Here is a 17755-nt window from a genome sequence, read left to right as displayed (position 1 = left end):
CAGTTACAAAATAAATATACAAAAATCACTAACTTTCTTACATTATCAAAAACTATTAGAACAAATGATTCATTTCATATTAGCAACTGAAATGTAAAATACTGGCTGGGTGCGGTGGCTTACACCTGTAACCCCAGCACTTTGGGAGCCTGAGGTGGGCGGATCACGAGGTCAGGAGATCGAGACCATCTTGGCCAACAGAGTGAAACCCTGTCTCTACTAAAATACAAAAAAGCTGGGCGTGGTGGCATGTGCCTATAATCCCAGCTACTTGGGAGGCTGAGGCAGGGGAATCGCTTGAACCCGGGAGGTGGAGGTTGCAGTGAGCTGAGATCACGCCACTGCATTCCAGCCTGGCGACAGAACAAGACTCCGTTTCAAAAAAAAAAAAAGAAATGTAAAATACTAAGTGTTATACTTCCAGGAAATACACAGGAACAATATGGGAAAAACTACAAATTTTAGAGACAGACATAAGGGAAGACCTACGTAAATGTAGAAAATACCATATTCCAGAAAGGAAGACATCAATGGTCCACAAACTACTCTACATATTTAATCATATAAATTAAAATCCCCATAGGAATTTTTGCAAGGAAACTTGATAAAATGATCCTACATCCCATACAGGAGAATAATCATGCACAAAGAACTGAGAGATTTTTGAAAAAAAGAAAAATGAAGGTGGTTTTGCGTAACTAAATATTAAAATGCATTTTAAAGTTAGCCTAATTAAAACAATGCCTTGTCTTCATAACAAAGAAATCAATAAAACAAAAAGTCCAGAAATGAAAGCAAGTTTATAAGTATTTCATGTACAATAAGGCATTTCAAATACATTGATACATCCAGTACATTTCAGATATATCGTCAAATACTCCAAAGTAAAAAATTAAGCCATAAAAAGAACAGAAGAATATATAGATGACTATTTATATAATCCTAGTAAGATGGAGGCCTAAGGATAACACCAAAAAAAAGAAATCATAAAAGAAAAAGATAGATTGTTTTGAAGGTTGAAAAGACAAATGACAAAAATGTAAAAACTGTTTGGGCCTGGTGGCTCATGCCTGTAATCCCAGCACTTTGGGAGGCGGAGGCAGGTGGATCACTTGAGCCTAGGAATTCCAGACAAGCCCAGGCAACGTGGCAAAACCTCGTCTCTATAAAAAAATACAAAAAAGTTAGCTGGGCATGGTGGTGCGAGCCTGTAGTCTCAGCTACTTGTGAGGCTGAGGTGCGTGGAAAGGTTGGGCCCAGGAGGTGGAAGCTGCAGTGAGCCAAGATTGTACCATTGCACTCCAGCCTGAGTGACAGAGTGACAACCTGTCTCGGAAAAAAAAAAAAAAGTAAAAACTATAGAGTATCACAAATGTATTTTTAATATATAAAAGCTGTTAAAAATTAGCAAGAAAAAAATGAAATTTTAATAAAAAATTAAACAGGAACAATATAAGCTGTCAGTTTACATGAGATGATACGTTCAATAAGCATAAAAAAACCCAACAATACAGTAACCAAAGAAATGAAAATTGAAAATTAAGGGCCAGGCGCGGTGGCTCACACCTGTAATCCCAGCACTTTGGGAGGCCAAGGCAGGTGGATTACTTGAGGCCAGAAGTTCAAGACCAGCCTGGCTAACATGGTGAAATCCTGTCTCTACTAAAAATTAGTGCACTCCAGCCTGGGCGACAGAGCAAGACTCTGTCTCAAAACAAACAAACAAAAAGAAATGAAAATTAAAACAAATATTTGTTTTCACATTTACTACGCTGGGATAGAGATGAAAAAGAATAAGATACAATATTGGGTATACTCTCCTGTACTGCTGCCAGGGGGAAGTATAAATTGGACAGTAGCTTTGGAGGGCAATTTGGCCATTAGAAAATTGTATGCACCATGCAACAAGAATTCTACTTCTTGGAATTTATGCTTTAAAAATATCATAAAAATGGACAAAGATATATGTATATTTCCTATAGTAATGAAAAAAAATGAGAAACAACTTTATCCAATAAAGAGGAATTATCTAAGTTACGGTATAGCCAAAACAACTAATATTATGCCGTTCATAAAAATGATGCTGTGAATATATATTTATTGACCAAAAAAAGCTATGTACAACAAAGTGAAAAAAAAAAAAAAAGGTTACAATTACTACCTCACTGTCTGATGCACCTAGGCTCACCTGGCCTTGGGCTCTGAAAGAGGACCAAGCCTTTCTTCTACTGGGCCCAGGCCAGGTGACCCCATTTTGCCTCTCCCCCAGGCCTGACCACTATGCGACCAACAAGTTCTCCCAGGCCACTGACTTGGCCATGAAGAAGACAGAGGACAACAATGCACTTGTGTTCATTGTGGATGTCGAGGTCAAAAAGCATAAGATCAAACAGGCTGTGGAGGAGCTCTATGACACCAATGTGGCCAAGATCAACACCGTGATCAGGGCTGATGGAGAGAAGAAAGCCCATGTTCAGCTGGCTCCTGAGCATGCTGCTTTTAGAGGCTGCCAAAAAATTGGGATCATCTAAGTTGAATCCAGCTGGCAAATTCTAAATATATATGTTTTTCACCATTAAAAAAAAAAGCAGGTTACAAAATAGCTAACCTACTGTGATCCAATTTTGCAAAAATGATACAGGTGAAGGAAAAACTCAGCAATGTATCTGAGTGGTACATGTATGATTGTTGTTTCAGCTGACTCATATTTTCTATTTTTTCGACAACATCTATAACCTATATAAAACACGGAGACAACTCCCAAAGTAAATCTCCCAAACTCCATCCACAGCCCTCATGCCCTGGCTCTAGTTATACTGAACTCTTCCAACCATCTTTCAGTTCCTTGAATATGACCCATGTATTCCCTTGCTTCCGGAAATCTTACTCACCATTTGAGGCTTGGTTCAGGTATGCATTCACTTTAACACTTTTCCAGGAGAGGATGTTTTCCCTGAGCTGTCTTTCTTTCTCCTCCTCCTCCAATAACCACCCCCAACCACGGCAGCTGCTCAGTTACAGGTCAGAGTCTTCTCCCTCAAGGTTGCACACTCTGAGCTAATTCTATCATGCTACTTACACTAGGCTATATTAACACAAGCCTGTCTTTATTTCTTCTACTTCTAGCTGAGAACCAAGCACATGGTGGGGACACAAATGTTTGCTGAAGGAACATGGGAATACAACTATTATCTTGGCCTGGTGCTTTTTTAGGTCTCTGGCTGGGTTTGAGCCATGACAGTATTTTTCATGAAGTTTCAGGTAGAAGATAAAGATAGTCATTGTCTGTTCAGCTGCAGAGGTTACAAGAAGGACCAACAGAGAGTTCTGATGGAGGCAGATTTGGACTTTCTCATTATATACCTGCCTTGAAATGGACATTCCTACATATTACCTTTCATGTAAGATGGGGGTCAGTTAGAGTTTCAACAATGGGTGGATGACCCCCTCTGTAAGAATGCTGTTAAAAGAAGTTCTCATATAGGGCATGTGAGGTTACAATGATCACTTCCGGGGTTACTTGCAATGCTAAGGATGTTCTATGATAGTCTCTTCAGTCTGAGGAAAACTACTAACTTCTCATAATTTATGTAAACTATAACAGGCTTTGAATCCTTTAATAAAACATTATGCCCTTTGGAATGATGATTACTTTTAATAGAAATAAAGTTCCTCAATATTTTAACAGCTTTCAGTTTTACTTTTAAAAATGGTCTACTTTCTCATCATGACACTTTGAAACTTCTCCATGTGTGTGATGTATGAATAAATAAATGGCTTTGGAGATAATCTGGGGAACATTGCAGAGTTTGCCATCTTACGAACCTAATGGGCTAGAGAATAATGCTCTTATGATATTCGGAGCTATGGAGACATACAGGATTGTCTTTAAGATGCCTGCTGTGAATGTATAAATAAATGCACTATGTACACAATGGATAAAGCACTTAAGATTCCTAAAATTTTAGGAATGAATTTTAGTGCTGCTGATATTCAGGATAAACAATTATTTCCTTATAATCAGTGTTTCCCTGCCCCTCAAACAGTGTTTTCTTTTTTTCTCCTAATTATGCTTCCATTGGGATGGGGTCAATTATGCATAAGTGAATGTGGTACTTTCATCTTTACCTTCAAAAGACTTTTAAACCAACTTTTAGGTCAAAATGCCATCACTTTAATGTTAATTCTACTTAAGAATTTTCAAAAGAGGATTCAAAAGACAAATATTATGATGACATACCAGAAGATAATCGAACATACCTGATCCTTTTCAAGTGTAAGTATTTGATAGCCAGTTGTTCTACTACATATTAGTTTTCCACTACTATCAAAAGAAGCCAAACGTAATCTAGGATTAAAAAAAAAATAAAAAATAAACACAAGATTTTTAAACCACAGATTAAACAAGCTCTTCCTTACTTTCATATTTACTTTTTCCTCTGTTTTTTATTTGATAAAAGACTTTTAGGAAGTCTTTTCAAACTGTAATCTGACTGCATTCAGTGACAAGCCTGTGCTATTATACATATCTGGCCAAGAGAAATCATTTATAAATGTTTTTATTGTGGTAAAATATACGTAACATTTATCATTTTAACCATTTTAAAGTATATAGTTCTGTGGCATTAAATATATTTCCACATTGTTCTGCACCCATCTCTAGAACATTTTAATTTTCCCTCGCTGAAGCTCCTTACCCATTAAACACTAACTCCCCACTTTCCCTTCCCTCAGGCCCTGGCAACCACCAGTGTATCCTCTGTACCTATGAATTTGTCTACTCTAGGTACTTCGTATGAGTGGAATCTTACAATATTTGTGCTTTGTGAGTGGCTTATTTCACTTGGCATGTCTTCCAGGTTCATCCATGTTTAGCATGTATGAGAATTTGCTTCCTTTTCAAGGCTAAATAATGTTCTATTTTATGTATATACCACATTTTGTTTCTCTAGCATCTGTCAGTGAACATGTGGGTTGCTTCCACCTTTTGGCTATTGTGAATAATGCTGTTATGAACATAAGTATACAAAAATATCTGTTTAAGTCCCTATTTTCAATTCTTCTGGTCTATAGAAGAGAAACTGCTGGATCATATGGTAATTCTGTTTAATTTTTTTGAGGAAGTGTCATACCATGCTCCATAGTGGCTGTGCCATTTTACATGGCCACGAGCAGTACACAAGGGTTCTAAATACTCCACATCCTTGCCAACACCTGTTACTTTTGTTGTTTTTTTTCTATTCTGTTTTTACTAATAGCTATCCTAATAGGTGTGAAGTGATAGCTCATTGTGATTTTGGTTTGTATGTCCCTAATTAGTAATGTTGAACATCTTTTCATGTGTTTATTAGCCATTTATATATCTTCTTTGGAGAAATGTTTATGGAAGTCTTTGGCCCATTTTTGAGCTGAGTTGAGTTTTCTTTTTAAATTATAGAGTTGTAGGAGTTTTCTATATATTCTGGGTATTAATGTCTTATCAAATGTAGCGTTACAAATATCTGCTCTCATTCCATGGGTTGCCTTTTCACTGTCTTGACACTGTCCTCTGATACACAAGTTTGTGATTTTGATGAAGTCCAATTTTATCTACTGCTTCTTTTGTTGCCTGTGCTTGGGTGTCTTATGGAAGAAATCACTGCCAAATCAATTGTTATGAAGCTTTTCCCCTATGTTTTCTTCCAAGAGTTTCATAGTTGCAGTTCTTATGCTTAGATCTTTGATCCATTTTAAGTTAATTTTTGTATTTGGTGTAAGGTAAGTATAAATATATGACTTTTAAATCATGTTCATTAAGCTACTGTCCAATTTGTCAGCTTCTGGTATCCTCTCAGAAAAAGATTGCCAGCAACTACTGGGCAAAATTTAACATATTAAATCCTTTAAAAAGTTAAGGATAATATGTGTTTTCCTGGAAACATACCTTGCTACATATTTCAACAGTCTGGATCTTTTATTTGCTAGGAATAGCAACAAGGCAACGACTTCAAGGCTGATATTCCCTACTGGTATATATTCCAGCCTATTCATTCTCCCTGACATACTAGATCCTATGATTCTGATTACTAACAATAGATTTCACAGGAATGGAGCCTCGTCATTTCCTACCACTTCCACATATACTGTAGCTTACCAAAGTTCTACTAATGTTGGTGTAAATTATCAAGGTTTTATTTCTTATATTTTCTCTGGAGTGAGGAGGAGTGGGGTGGGGAAATCTCATCCTACCTAAATGCTATGCTCCTTCGAGGCTGTAAACTGACAGATCCGCTACATGGCTGATTCAGTGTATTGCGTTTGAAAATGATGTATCGATTGGTGTAAGTTACAAGTAGGTCGAAGCCGAAGTTAAAACCTGTCCAACGCCAGCAGTACTAAAAAATACAAGAGAGAAGACTTATTTCAGTTTATCATATTAGCAAGTAGAAAATAAAAAATTCAAAATGTCTTTTTGTCTCTAACTCATTCCAAGTATTTCCCTCATGGGTGGTCGACTTTTTGTCAGTGACTTTTTCTTAAGGCTTACCACCCAAAACTATTTATCTAAGCTAGAAAAGCTGCCCTTAATGATCATAATTCTCTAAGCTACTTTCCTCTTCATGATCAGTTTCCTTATCTCTCCATACTGCAATTCTACCATAAATAATAAGGCTTTTTTTTTTTTTTTTTTTTTTTGAGACAGAGTCTCATTCTGTCACTCAGGCTGGAGTGCAGTGGCATGATCTTGGCTCACTGCAACCTCCACCTCCCGGGTTCAAGCGATTCTCCTGCCTCAGCCTCCCAAGTAGCTGGGACTACAGGTCCCTGCCACCACGCCCGGCTAATTTTTTTTTTTTTTTTTTTGAGACAGAGGTTTGCTCTAGTTGCCCAGGCTGGAGTGCAATGGCATGATCTTGGCTCACCACAACCTCCACCTCCCGGGTTCAAGCGATTCTCCTGCCTCAGCCTCCTGAGTAGCTGGGATTACAGGCATGCGCCAAGCCTGGCTAATTTTGTATTTTTAGTAGAGACGGGGTTTTTCCATGTTGGTCAGGCTGGTCTCGAACTCCCGACCTCAGGTGATCCGCCCGCCTCGGCCTCCCAAAGTGCTGGGACTACAAAGTGTAAGCCACTGTGCCCGGCCTTTTTTTTTTGTATTTTGAGTAGAGACGGGGTTTCACTATGTTGGCCAGGCTGGTCTTGAACTGCTGACCTTGTGATCCACACGCCTCGGCCTCCCAAAGCGCTGGGATTACAGGCGTGAGCCACTGCACCCAGCAATAATAAGGCTTTTCACTGCAACTCTAAGTGGGTATATAGCTTAGAGCACTAAGAGTTTCTAGAGCACTAAGGTAATTAAGAGCCCATTAAAATCCACCTTGCTTTAAAAATACTCTTAAGGGCTGGGTGTGGTGGCTCACGCCTGTAATCCCAGCACTTTGGGAGGCCGAGGCGGGTGGATCACCTGAGGTCTGAGGTTCAAAAACAGCCTGGCCAACATGGCGAAACCCCATCTCTACTAAAAATACAAAAAAGAATAAAAAAAAATAAAAATAAAAATAAAAATAAAATACTCTAACTCAAGTAACACACAACTGGGTTATTTAAATATCATCATGGGGTTCACGAGTTTGTTTATTCTATCAGCTAATAGTTAATGTGAGAGTATCAGATAAGGTAGTGTGATACAGAGAAGTAGTTAGGGCTTCAAGTGTTTGGCTGACACCCTGAATTGCAATTCAGTATTTAACTGATATTTATTGAGCACATATTATATGCCAGGCACTCCTCTAAGCAATGGAATCATAGCAGTAAATAACATACAGTTTCTGCCCTAGTAGAGGTGATAACTGTAAGGGCAAAGCTTTTTTTTTTTTAAAGAGACAGGGTCTCGTTATATTGCCCAGGCTGAACTCTAACTCCTGGGTTCAAGCAATTTTTCCACCTAAGCCTCCCAAGTAGCTGGAATTGCAGGTGCATACCACTGTGCCTGGCTGGAGCAAAGCTTTTGAATAGGTGAGCATGGATAGAGTCCAGTACAAAGAGAGGGAATGGACTAAGATAGAAGTAGGCAGTTCATTTTTCTAATAAGATGAAATGCATAGCGCATAGCTACAGGTGCAGGTAGACTGGCAGAACTACTGGTAAGATGATGTACAGATTCTCTTTTCATTGCAGTAGGCAGCAAGGCCATCAGATAAGAATAAGGGTGGGAGCATTGCCCTTTTAAGGAGAGAAGGTATGAGTTACCTCAGCTAATGGGAGGATCAATTCACTAGGAAAATGCAGACAGATCATGATGCAGCACTAACCTACTTCAAGTTCATGGTTACCACATTCAAGTGGAACCCAATGGGGTACGGTGTTTGTCTTTAATCACATTCATCTGTCTGGATGCAGGCATGGAGTGCAACCCTTGACAAGAGTTGGGGTTTAGCCAGGTGAGTTTAACATGTCAATGAGGAAAAAGAAAAGTTAAAAGAGTATAAGCAAGGGACCAATTTTACGATGGAACATAAAATATAAGTCAAGCAAAATAAGAAGTAGAAATGTGGTCAGAAAGGTGATAGGGAAAGGTTGTAAAAACAATGTATTGTATATCCAGAATGGAGTTAAAAAATTGTTGGAGTCCAGGTGCTAGAGAGAATGAGCTAGAAAGACGAGGTGGGGTCTGAAAACGGGATGCCTGAAATGGAGATTTTGAAGGTGGTGTAGTAATTAATAATGCAAAAATTGAGGGTATGCTCACAGGAATGGATGCCTGAGGTAGGGTGGAGCACAAGAGCATGGGGGAAGGAAGGTCAGGGAACAGAGATATTGAAATCAACACGACCGAGAATAAGAGTAGTGGTAAAGAAAGGTAGTGAGGGCTGGACGTGGTGGCTCATGCCTATAATCTCAACAATTTGGGAGGCCAAGGTAGGAGGACCACTTGAGCCCAGGAGTCTGAGAACAGCCTGGGCAACATAGTGAGACCTCGTCTCTACAAAAATTTTAAAAAATTAGCCAGGCGTGGTGGTGCATTCTTGTAGTCCCAGCTACTTGGGAGGCTCAGGTGGGAGGATCACTTGAGCCCAGGAAGTCAAGGCTTCAGTGAGTCATGATCATGCCACTACACTCCAGCCTGGGCAACAGAGTGAGACTCTGTCTCAAAAAAAAAAGAAAGAAAAGAAAAGAAAGGCAGTGAACTCAGTGAATTATGGCCACAATAAGAGTAGTAGGTGGTATAGTAGGAGAATTTGCTTCAAAGTAACAAGAAGATCTGAAAGCAGCAACAAGGAAGAATGAGAACTAAAGAAAACTATTCTTTTATACTCTGAACATTTATCATAATACAAAGGCAAACATAGGCTGGGTGTGGTGGCTCATGCCTATAATTCTAGCACTTTGGGAGGCTAAGGCAGGAAGATCTCTTGAGCCCACTAATTCGAGACTAGCCTGGGCAACACAGGGAGACCCCCAACTCTACAAAAAGTAAAAAAATAAAATTAGCTGGCTGTGGTGACACGTGTCTGTAGTCTCAGCTACTCCAGAGACTGTTGCTTTTAGTCCAGAGCATTGAGGCTGCAGTGAGCGATGATTGTGCCACTGCACTCCAACCTGGGCGACACAGTGAGACACTGTCCATCAGTCAATCAATGTGAACGTAAAATAATCAACTTTTAAAAATTAAAAATAAATAAAGTCAAAATGAGGAAAAGTTTGGGAGAGAAATAACCAAATAGGTATCTATATAAGGTTGATTTTTTTTGAAAAACAAAAATTATGATTAGTTAGGGGGGAATATTTAAAAATGTAGTTCATGTCTCATTAGTGGATTGTAAAATCAATTTAATAAGATACAATCAGTTTTTTTTTTTTTTTCTTGAGATGGAGACTCGCTCTGTCACCAGGCTGAAGTGCAGTGTCACAATCTTGACTCACTGCAACGTCTGCCTTACGAGTTCAAGCAATCTCCTGCCTCAGCCTTCCGAGTAGCTAGGACTACAGGCATACACCACTACGCCCAGAGAATTTTTGTATTTTTAGTAGAGACAGGGTTTCACCATGTTAGCCAGGATGGTCTTGATCTCCTGACCTCATGATCTGCCTGCCTCAGTCTCCCAAAGTGCTGGAATTACAGGCATGAGCCGCCGTGCCCAGCCACAATCAGTTTTTTTAAAAAAATATTAAATAGAAGGCTGGGCATGGTGGCTCATGCTTACAATCCCAGCTATTTGGGAGGCTGGGATGGGAGAAGTGCTTGAGCCTGGGAGTTAAAGGCTGCAGTGAGCTGTGGTCACGCCACTGCACTCCAGGTTGGGTGACAGAGGGAGAGCCTGTCTCTAACAAATAACATAAAATAAAAGTATTAAATAGAAAAAATAATTTCTGGATGCACAGGGGTAAGTATTGTTTTTAAATACTTTTCTTTCACTTATATACATTTATATTGGGTGGTAATGAAAAAATATCTTTTTTTTTTTGAGATGGAGTCTTACTTTGTCGCCCAGGCTGGAGTGCAGTGGCATGATCTCGGCTTACTGCAACCTCTGCCTCCCGAGTTCAGGTGATTCTCGTGCCTCAGCCTCCCTGGTAGCTGGGTTTACAGGCATGCACCACCATGCCTGGCTAACTTCTGTATTTTTAGTAGAGATGGGGTTTCACCATGTTGGCCAGGCTGGTCTTGAACTCCTGGCCTCAAGTGATCCGCCCATCTCAGCCTTCCAAAGTGCTGGGATTATAGGCGTGAGCCACCGCACCTGGCCAAGAAAAGGTAATTCCTAATGTGGGTAACAATCAATGGATTTGAATGTCTTTGATTTAGGACAACTGTAACACAGAATCACTTTTAAGACTATGTAACAGATCCCTCACAATTTCTTCTTTATCTTAATTTCTGGATTGCTAAGGGACCCTCTTCTTGTATGTCTTATCTGAACTCAAAATTTAAGTTCAGCATTCTCATACAAGGCCAAGTAATCAATCACTACTGAGTGTGGTGGCTGTAACTACTTTCCCAGCAGATCATGCTACAGAAAGTGTATCAAACAAGCTCTTCTGAGGTATGACAGGTGTCATGATTACTACTTACAGGTGCAGGATGTGCTGATAATACAATTTGTATAAGAATATTAACAGTCACAACCCATACTTACTTCACCATCTTTGGCAAGCTTTCTACCACACCTCATGCTGTTTCCCTCTAGTTCTTCTTTATTGATTTCTTGAGGCCTAAAAATATACATAAAATATGAACGTTCATAGAAAATATGCAACTAATAATTAAAAAAGAACTATGAGTTAAGAACAGAAAATCTTGCTACCAGATTTAAAAATAAGTTTTTGTGGTACAGATAAAAATAAGAAAGTGTTGATTAAATTTAGTCCATTATTTTTGCTAGATAAAAAAGATTTAATATCTTCTATGTTTCACTTATTGCCCTGACTTCTGGACTACTTTTATTAGGGCTCAGCCAAACCAGAGTAGAGGAAAAAAAACCTGAAAAATTCTATTTGCCAAAAAAAAAAAAAAAAAAAAAAGTAAAAGTCTAACTACAAGTAAAATAAGCTAAAATCTATTATTTCTGTAAATAAGATGTGACTTGATATCACCTACCACTTAATATTACTTGTTTCACATGCAAACCATTTTTCATATAGTGTAACTATGCAAAATCAATATTAATAGAAAATGGCTGTAAAATTTTATCAGTTAAGTCTTTATTTGGTTCCCTAGTTTAAAAACCTTAATCAACTAAGAGAAATACTGTTATCTAAAGTTGTAATAAATATGGTATTATAATTAGCATCATTATTCCAAATGATAACAGTAATATAATACATTCATTCATATATTCATTCACAACATGAAATGCCTAGAAATTGGGTACAATAATAGCATATATAATACATAATAAAATAATGAAACAAATACAATAAATAAATAAGTGTAAATAAGACTAATAAAACATATCCTTGATATCCAAGAGCTCAGTTCAGTAGGGAACTAGACATAAATAATAATTATACTACAGTTAATTATAATAATATTAATAATTTGTGGTTTGTGATGTTAAGCACATGAAGAAGGTACAGATTTATTGCCTAGGATTAGAGGGGGATCATTAGAGAGTAAATATTATTTGTGCCCGAGTGGAAGCTTGTTGGGTGGGGTGGAGGTGAGGGGTGAATTCTATGGAGGGGTAAGAGTATTCCAGGCAGAAGAAATAGTGGATAAAAAGGAACTGGAGCATAACAGAAAACCAAAATGTAAAGGAATTTAATGCAGCTGCAGCATATGAACATAAGAATTTAGTGCACATTTAGTGCAGATGAACATGAAAGGAGAGGAAGCTAAAGACATCTGGGATAGAATGCTGACAGTCCCCACAGATCATGCTAAAAAGTTTCAACTGCTCTTGTAGGTAACAAGTTCCCAAGCATTTATTCTGTAACTTTTAAACTTTTTGTTACGAAAAACTACAAACATATGAAAGCAGAGAAAATAGTATGAGCCAAATTTTCTTACCATCTAGCTTCAATAATCTTGAACAGCAATACTATAATCCCTTAACTGTCATCAAATATCCCTGGACATATTTAAGTAGAGAAGTGACACAGTTTTATTTCTGTTTTAGAAAGATAACCCTCTTGGCAACATAGACAAGAGTTTTATGAGGAGAAGCCCAGAGGGAAATTTGACACCAGATTATAACCTAGCATCCAGGGAATATAGTGTCTTCCTCACTTTAGCAGTCCTGCAGCAGTGAGCAGATGCTTGGTATCTGCTGAACAGAACATTTCCTAAGAGGGGATATATCATATACAGTTGACCCTTGAACAACAGGTTTGAACTGCTTGGGTCCATTTATACAGATTTTTCTCAACCAAAATCAGATCAAAAATGCAGTATTTGTAGGATGTGAAATCTGTGTATATGGAGAGCCAACTTTTCGTATATGTGGGTTTTGCAGGGTCAACTAACTGCGGGACTAGAGTATGTGTGGATTTTGGTATACGCAGGGGTCCTGAAACCAATTCCCCCAAAATGACTGTACTTCTTAAGGCAAAAAACTAAAGACTTATTCTAGTGCAGTATCTTAGATGAGACTCTGTATTACCTCAATAAGGACATGGGTGAGGAAAATCATGAAAAATAAAGAACATCCAAAATTTAAAAATTGAATATACAGAAGAAGTAGGATGATTTATAAGTTACTTCATACACTACAAAATGCTTCAGTTCTGAATTCCATTAAATAGCTCATCGTTACTTCATATACTACAAAATGCTTCAGTTCTCAATTCCATTAAATAGCTCACTTTTTGATTTCAATTTATTATTTGTATTTCAACAATCTTTTTTTTTTTTGGGATGGAGTTTTGCTCTTGTTGCCCAGGCTGGAGTGCAATGGCGCAATCTTGGCTCACTGCAACTTCCGCCTCCCGGGTTCAAGCGATTCTCCTGCCTCAGCCTCCTGAGTAGCTGGGATTACAGGCATGCGCTACCACACCCAGCTAATTTTGTATTTTTAGTAGAGACAGGGTTTCTCCATCTCGGTCAGGCTTGTCTCGAACTCCTGACCTCAGGTGATCCACCCACCCCGGCCTCCCAAAGTGCTGGGATTACAGGTGTGAGCCACCACACCCAGCCTCAACAATCTTACTATTATTTATGCTGGATAAATATACTGGGAATATGTTTGAAAAAATATATAATTATAATCAAAGTAGAAACTAGGATCCTGGATAATAAAAATGACATAATCATCATGAATTTATGTAATACTTTCATACACTTACTGTTAGGATGAAAACTTATAATTAGGTCATTATTTAAAAAAATTATTTAGTATATAAAAATGAGTTCAAAGAGATCAGGGCAAAAAATTAAACTTTGAAGGTCTTTCTGTACACTCAGTCTCTCCACAATACCTATATATTAAGAAGCTAGCAGAAGGATCAAATCACAAATATAAAAGTTCTGTGAACTACAAAGCACTATAATAATCTTTCCTTTAAGATGAAGAAAGAGGATTAATGTTTTGTGGGGGGAGTCATATGTTTTTGGGGAAGGTATCTGTAACCAGATGGTGTTTTTTTGTTTGTTTGTTTGTTTTGTTTTTTTGAGACTGAGTCTCACTTTATCCCCCAGGCTTGGAAGTGCAGTGGAGCAATTTTGGCTTACCGCAACCTCCACTTCCAGGGTTTAGTAGAGACGGGGTTTCACTATGTTGGCCAGGCTGGTCTCGAACTCTTGACCCCAAGTGATCCTCCCACCTCAGCCTCCCAAAGTGCTGGGATTACAGGCGTGAGCCACCGTGCCCAGCCTGGATGGTTTTTAAATTCATTTTAGACTTAAAGATCTTCAAAAACTATTTATTACATTAATCAGAATTTGACAATACTACCATAAGAAAAACAGATTTACCTAGACATAAATATAAAAATTATGCTTTATGAAAGCATTACCTCAAATAATAGTTCAGTATGTTGAAAGAAAATCATATGATACTAAGTGAAACAAAGTATATATGGATTACATGTTCAATTTTACTAATAAAGCAAATGACATTTCCATAATTGCATTATACTATCTAATTGACCAGAAAGACATTTATAAGACTGATAATGTTGCAAAAATATAATAAAAAGTGATTATATGATCTTTACTTCAACAGCTTGAGTTTTCAATACTGTTAATGATTTTTCAACATAATGAATGCATTAAAAAATTCATAGCAAATTTTTTTAATGAAAAATGATAAGGTATAATATACTTACCCCACCTCACTGTCCTGTTCTGCCCGCAGCATAGCAAACCACTGCTGTTTATACACAGAAGAGAGCCATTCTGAAATGTAAGAATAAATTAATAATAATAAATAACGACTGAAGAACATAAAGGATTTAAACATTCATAGTTGACAAAATTGTTACCATTTCTAAATACAAGTTTAAAATAGCAATTTAAAAATTAGGTAGCTTAGGCCAAGCATGGTGGCTCATGCCTATAATCCCAGCACTTTGGGAGGCCAAGGCAGGTGGATCACCTGAGGTCAGGAGTTCGAGATCAGCCTGACTAACATGGCAAAACCCCGTCTCTACTAAAAATACAAAAATTAGCCGGGTGTGGTGGTGGGCGCCTGTAATCCCAACTACTTGGGGGGCTGAGGCGGGAGAATCGCTTGAACCCAGGAGGCGGAGGTTGCAGGGAGCCAAGATCATGCCACTGCACTCCAGCCTGTGTGACAGAGCAAGACTCTGTCTCAAACAATCAAACAGACAGACAAACAAACAAACAAACGAAACTGGTAGGTAGCTTATATTTTACAAAAATACTATAATGGCTGAATGATCTTTAAAGTGGTAAAGGTTTTACAGCTTTGTCTCAGGCTAGACTGTACTTATTACATTGCATACATTTAAATTGGGATAGTTAAAAGCATATTCTTGCGTTTAACGTTTTCCCTTTCATAGTTCATATTAATTTTTCAATTGTAAAAATCATATCTGAAACTATATTTTTAGTGTTTACAGAAGTTCTGACAGAAAATTGAATAATAAACTCTTCCATTATTAACATAAAAAAACAATTAATTGGTTTTTTGGGAAATAAGCCATCCCTAAATTCGTAGATGAAACATGCACACTCAATAAATAATTCTAGAATATTAGATTTAGATAACATAAAAATTAAAATATTTTAAATTATTCTAAATAGAATAAAAATTGTAATTACAGACATTCCTTTAATAATAAATATTTTTCCCACAAAATAAGCCTGTGTAAGTGGAAACATTAGCTATTTTAGATAAAAACAGATTAAAAATAAGAGTAGGCCAGGTGAGATGGCTCATGCTTGTAATCCCAAGCACTTTGGGAGGCTGAGGTAGGAGGATCACTTGAGCCCAGGAGTTCTAGACCAGCCTGGGCAACATAGTGAGACCTGATCTCTCCAAAACCACAAAAATTAGGTGCGTGCACCTGTAGTCCCAGCTACTCAGGAGGCTGAGGCAGAAAGATCTCTTGAGTCTGAGAGATCAAGGCTGCAGCGAGCCCTGGACATGCCAATGCACTCAAAACCTGGGCAACAGAGCAAGAACCTGCCTCAAAAAAAATAAATAAATACAAATAGAATTGGCTCAGCACTATTTATCTTTCTGCTCTTGTTTATTCCCAACTAGAATGGGTAGTTTTTCTATTTTTTTTTAAGTTCTTAAATTATTTCTCAATCTCTATGTAAAAGAGGGGTAGAAATCGTAGTGCAATTAAAATCTGGATTGTCACTTCCTAGGTCTCTACTTAATAAAAGTAATCCGGTGACTTCCAATGATTTACTGGTGTCTTTCCTTAAAACATCCCATATATACTTTTTTTTTTTTTTTTAGAGAGAGAGAGACACGGTCTCACTCTGTGGCCCAGGCTGGGGTCCGGTGGCCCTATCTTGGTAAACTGCAGCCTTGAACTCCTGGGCTCAAGCAGTTCTCCTCTCAGCCTCCAGAGTAGCTGGGACTATAGGTGTCTGCCACCATGCCTAGCTAATTTTTCCATTTTTTATGGAGAAGGGGTCTCCTGCTTCGGCCACCTAAAGTGCTGGGATTACAGGCGTGAGCCACCATGTCTGGCCTAAATACACTTTTGAATCTTTCTTTCAGGGTCCTCCAAAATTACATTCTTGCTATTATAAGGAATTTAAGTGTCTAGTACAGATAATTTGTCTTCATAGGTAAATACTAGTAGCAACTATTACATGACTCAGCACACATACACACATATATTTAAAAAAATTCATATATATATATATATTTAAAGCTGATCCCTACCTATTAAAATACCTGGAGTTTGAAACTCATTGATCTAGAGATAGCATATGGCATTTCATGACTCATTTGTAAAATTGGAATGAAAGAGTCAGACATACGTAAATATTCTCAAATATCATGTTAGATGTATCCCATAAATTTTTTTTTTTTTTTTTTTTTTTGAGACAGAGTCTTGCTCTGTCACCAGGCTGGAGTGTGGTGGCGCGATCTGGGTTCACAGCAACCTCCACCTCCCAGGTTCAAGCGATTCCTCTGCCTCAGCCTCCCGAGTAGCTGGGATTACAGGCATGTGCCACCACACCTGGCTTATTTTTTGTATTTTAGTAGAGACGGAGTTTCACCATGTTGGTCAGGATGGTCTCGATCTCCTTACCTCATGATCCACCTGCCTCGGCCTTCCAAAGTGCTGGGATTACAGGCGTGAGCCACCACACCCGGCCAAAAATGTTTTAGAATTTAAATTCCAACAATTTTTGCATAACCTCCTTTAAAACCAAAAGCATTTGAACAAGTTAAAAACATGAGTACATATTTTTGTTCCTCTTGTCATAGTTTAATCCAAAAGAATAAAAAGTCAAACTTGAAATCTTTCTGGTCATTGGTAGCTCAAGGATTCTAGGTCCCATGTCTTAAAAGCAGCATTCCAAAAATAAGTCAATGTAACACAAGTTCAAATGCAATGTTAATAGCATTGCAAAAGGAAAAAAAAAGAATCCCTGGTAAAATATGGGATGAAAATAAGTGAAGCAGGTTCTTTTACACAGAGTTTTCAATATGTTTGTATGCAATCATCTCCAAAAAGGAAGAAACACTAGGAAGAGTTTGCCAGAACCCTTTTTGGCAGAGAGCTACTGTTAGCTGGAAAGATTCTGAAAAAGTGCCTTCAAGAAACTTTGACTAAGTAGACTAAATTTTGACTAAATAGTAATATGTTTCCGCACTTATTTTAAACTTTATCAGACCAAGGT

At 37.9% G+C, this 17755-nt stretch overlaps 1 protein-coding gene and 1 pseudogene across 6 annotated transcripts in view; one reads left to right on the top strand and one right to left on the bottom strand.

The window, feature by feature from the left end:
- GMCL1 (germ cell-less 1, spermatogenesis associated) overlaps positions 1 to 17755 on the bottom strand; it is a 51725-nt gene that overhangs the window by 5292 nt on the left and 28678 nt on the right. For 5 of the 6 annotated variants that reach the window (NM_178439.5, XM_011533033.3, XM_011533034.3 and 2 more), the window contains 4 exons: positions 14746 to 14815; positions 11118 to 11193; positions 6229 to 6374; positions 4261 to 4348 (listed from right to left, as the gene is read on the bottom strand). In NM_178439.5, the coding sequence (NP_848526.1) occupies positions 4261 to 4348; positions 6229 to 6374; positions 11118 to 11193; positions 14746 to 14815 (380 nt within the window). Of the gene's footprint in view, positions 1 to 4260; positions 4349 to 6228; positions 6375 to 8291; positions 8395 to 11117; positions 11194 to 14745; positions 14816 to 17755 lie in introns of those variants that run through there. The other variant, XR_007079574.1, reaches the window with a different exon arrangement.
- RPL23AP92 (ribosomal protein L23a pseudogene 92) lies at positions 2274 to 2528 on the top strand (annotated as a pseudogene).

The sequence above is a fragment of the Homo sapiens genome, chromosome 2, assembly GCF_000001405.40.
Source record: "Homo sapiens chromosome 2, GRCh38.p14 Primary Assembly".
Lineage (NCBI taxonomy): Eukaryota > Metazoa > Chordata > Mammalia > Primates > Hominidae > Homo > Homo sapiens.
Note: the sequence above shows the minus strand (reverse complement) of the source record. Positions and strands in the feature narration are given on the sequence as shown.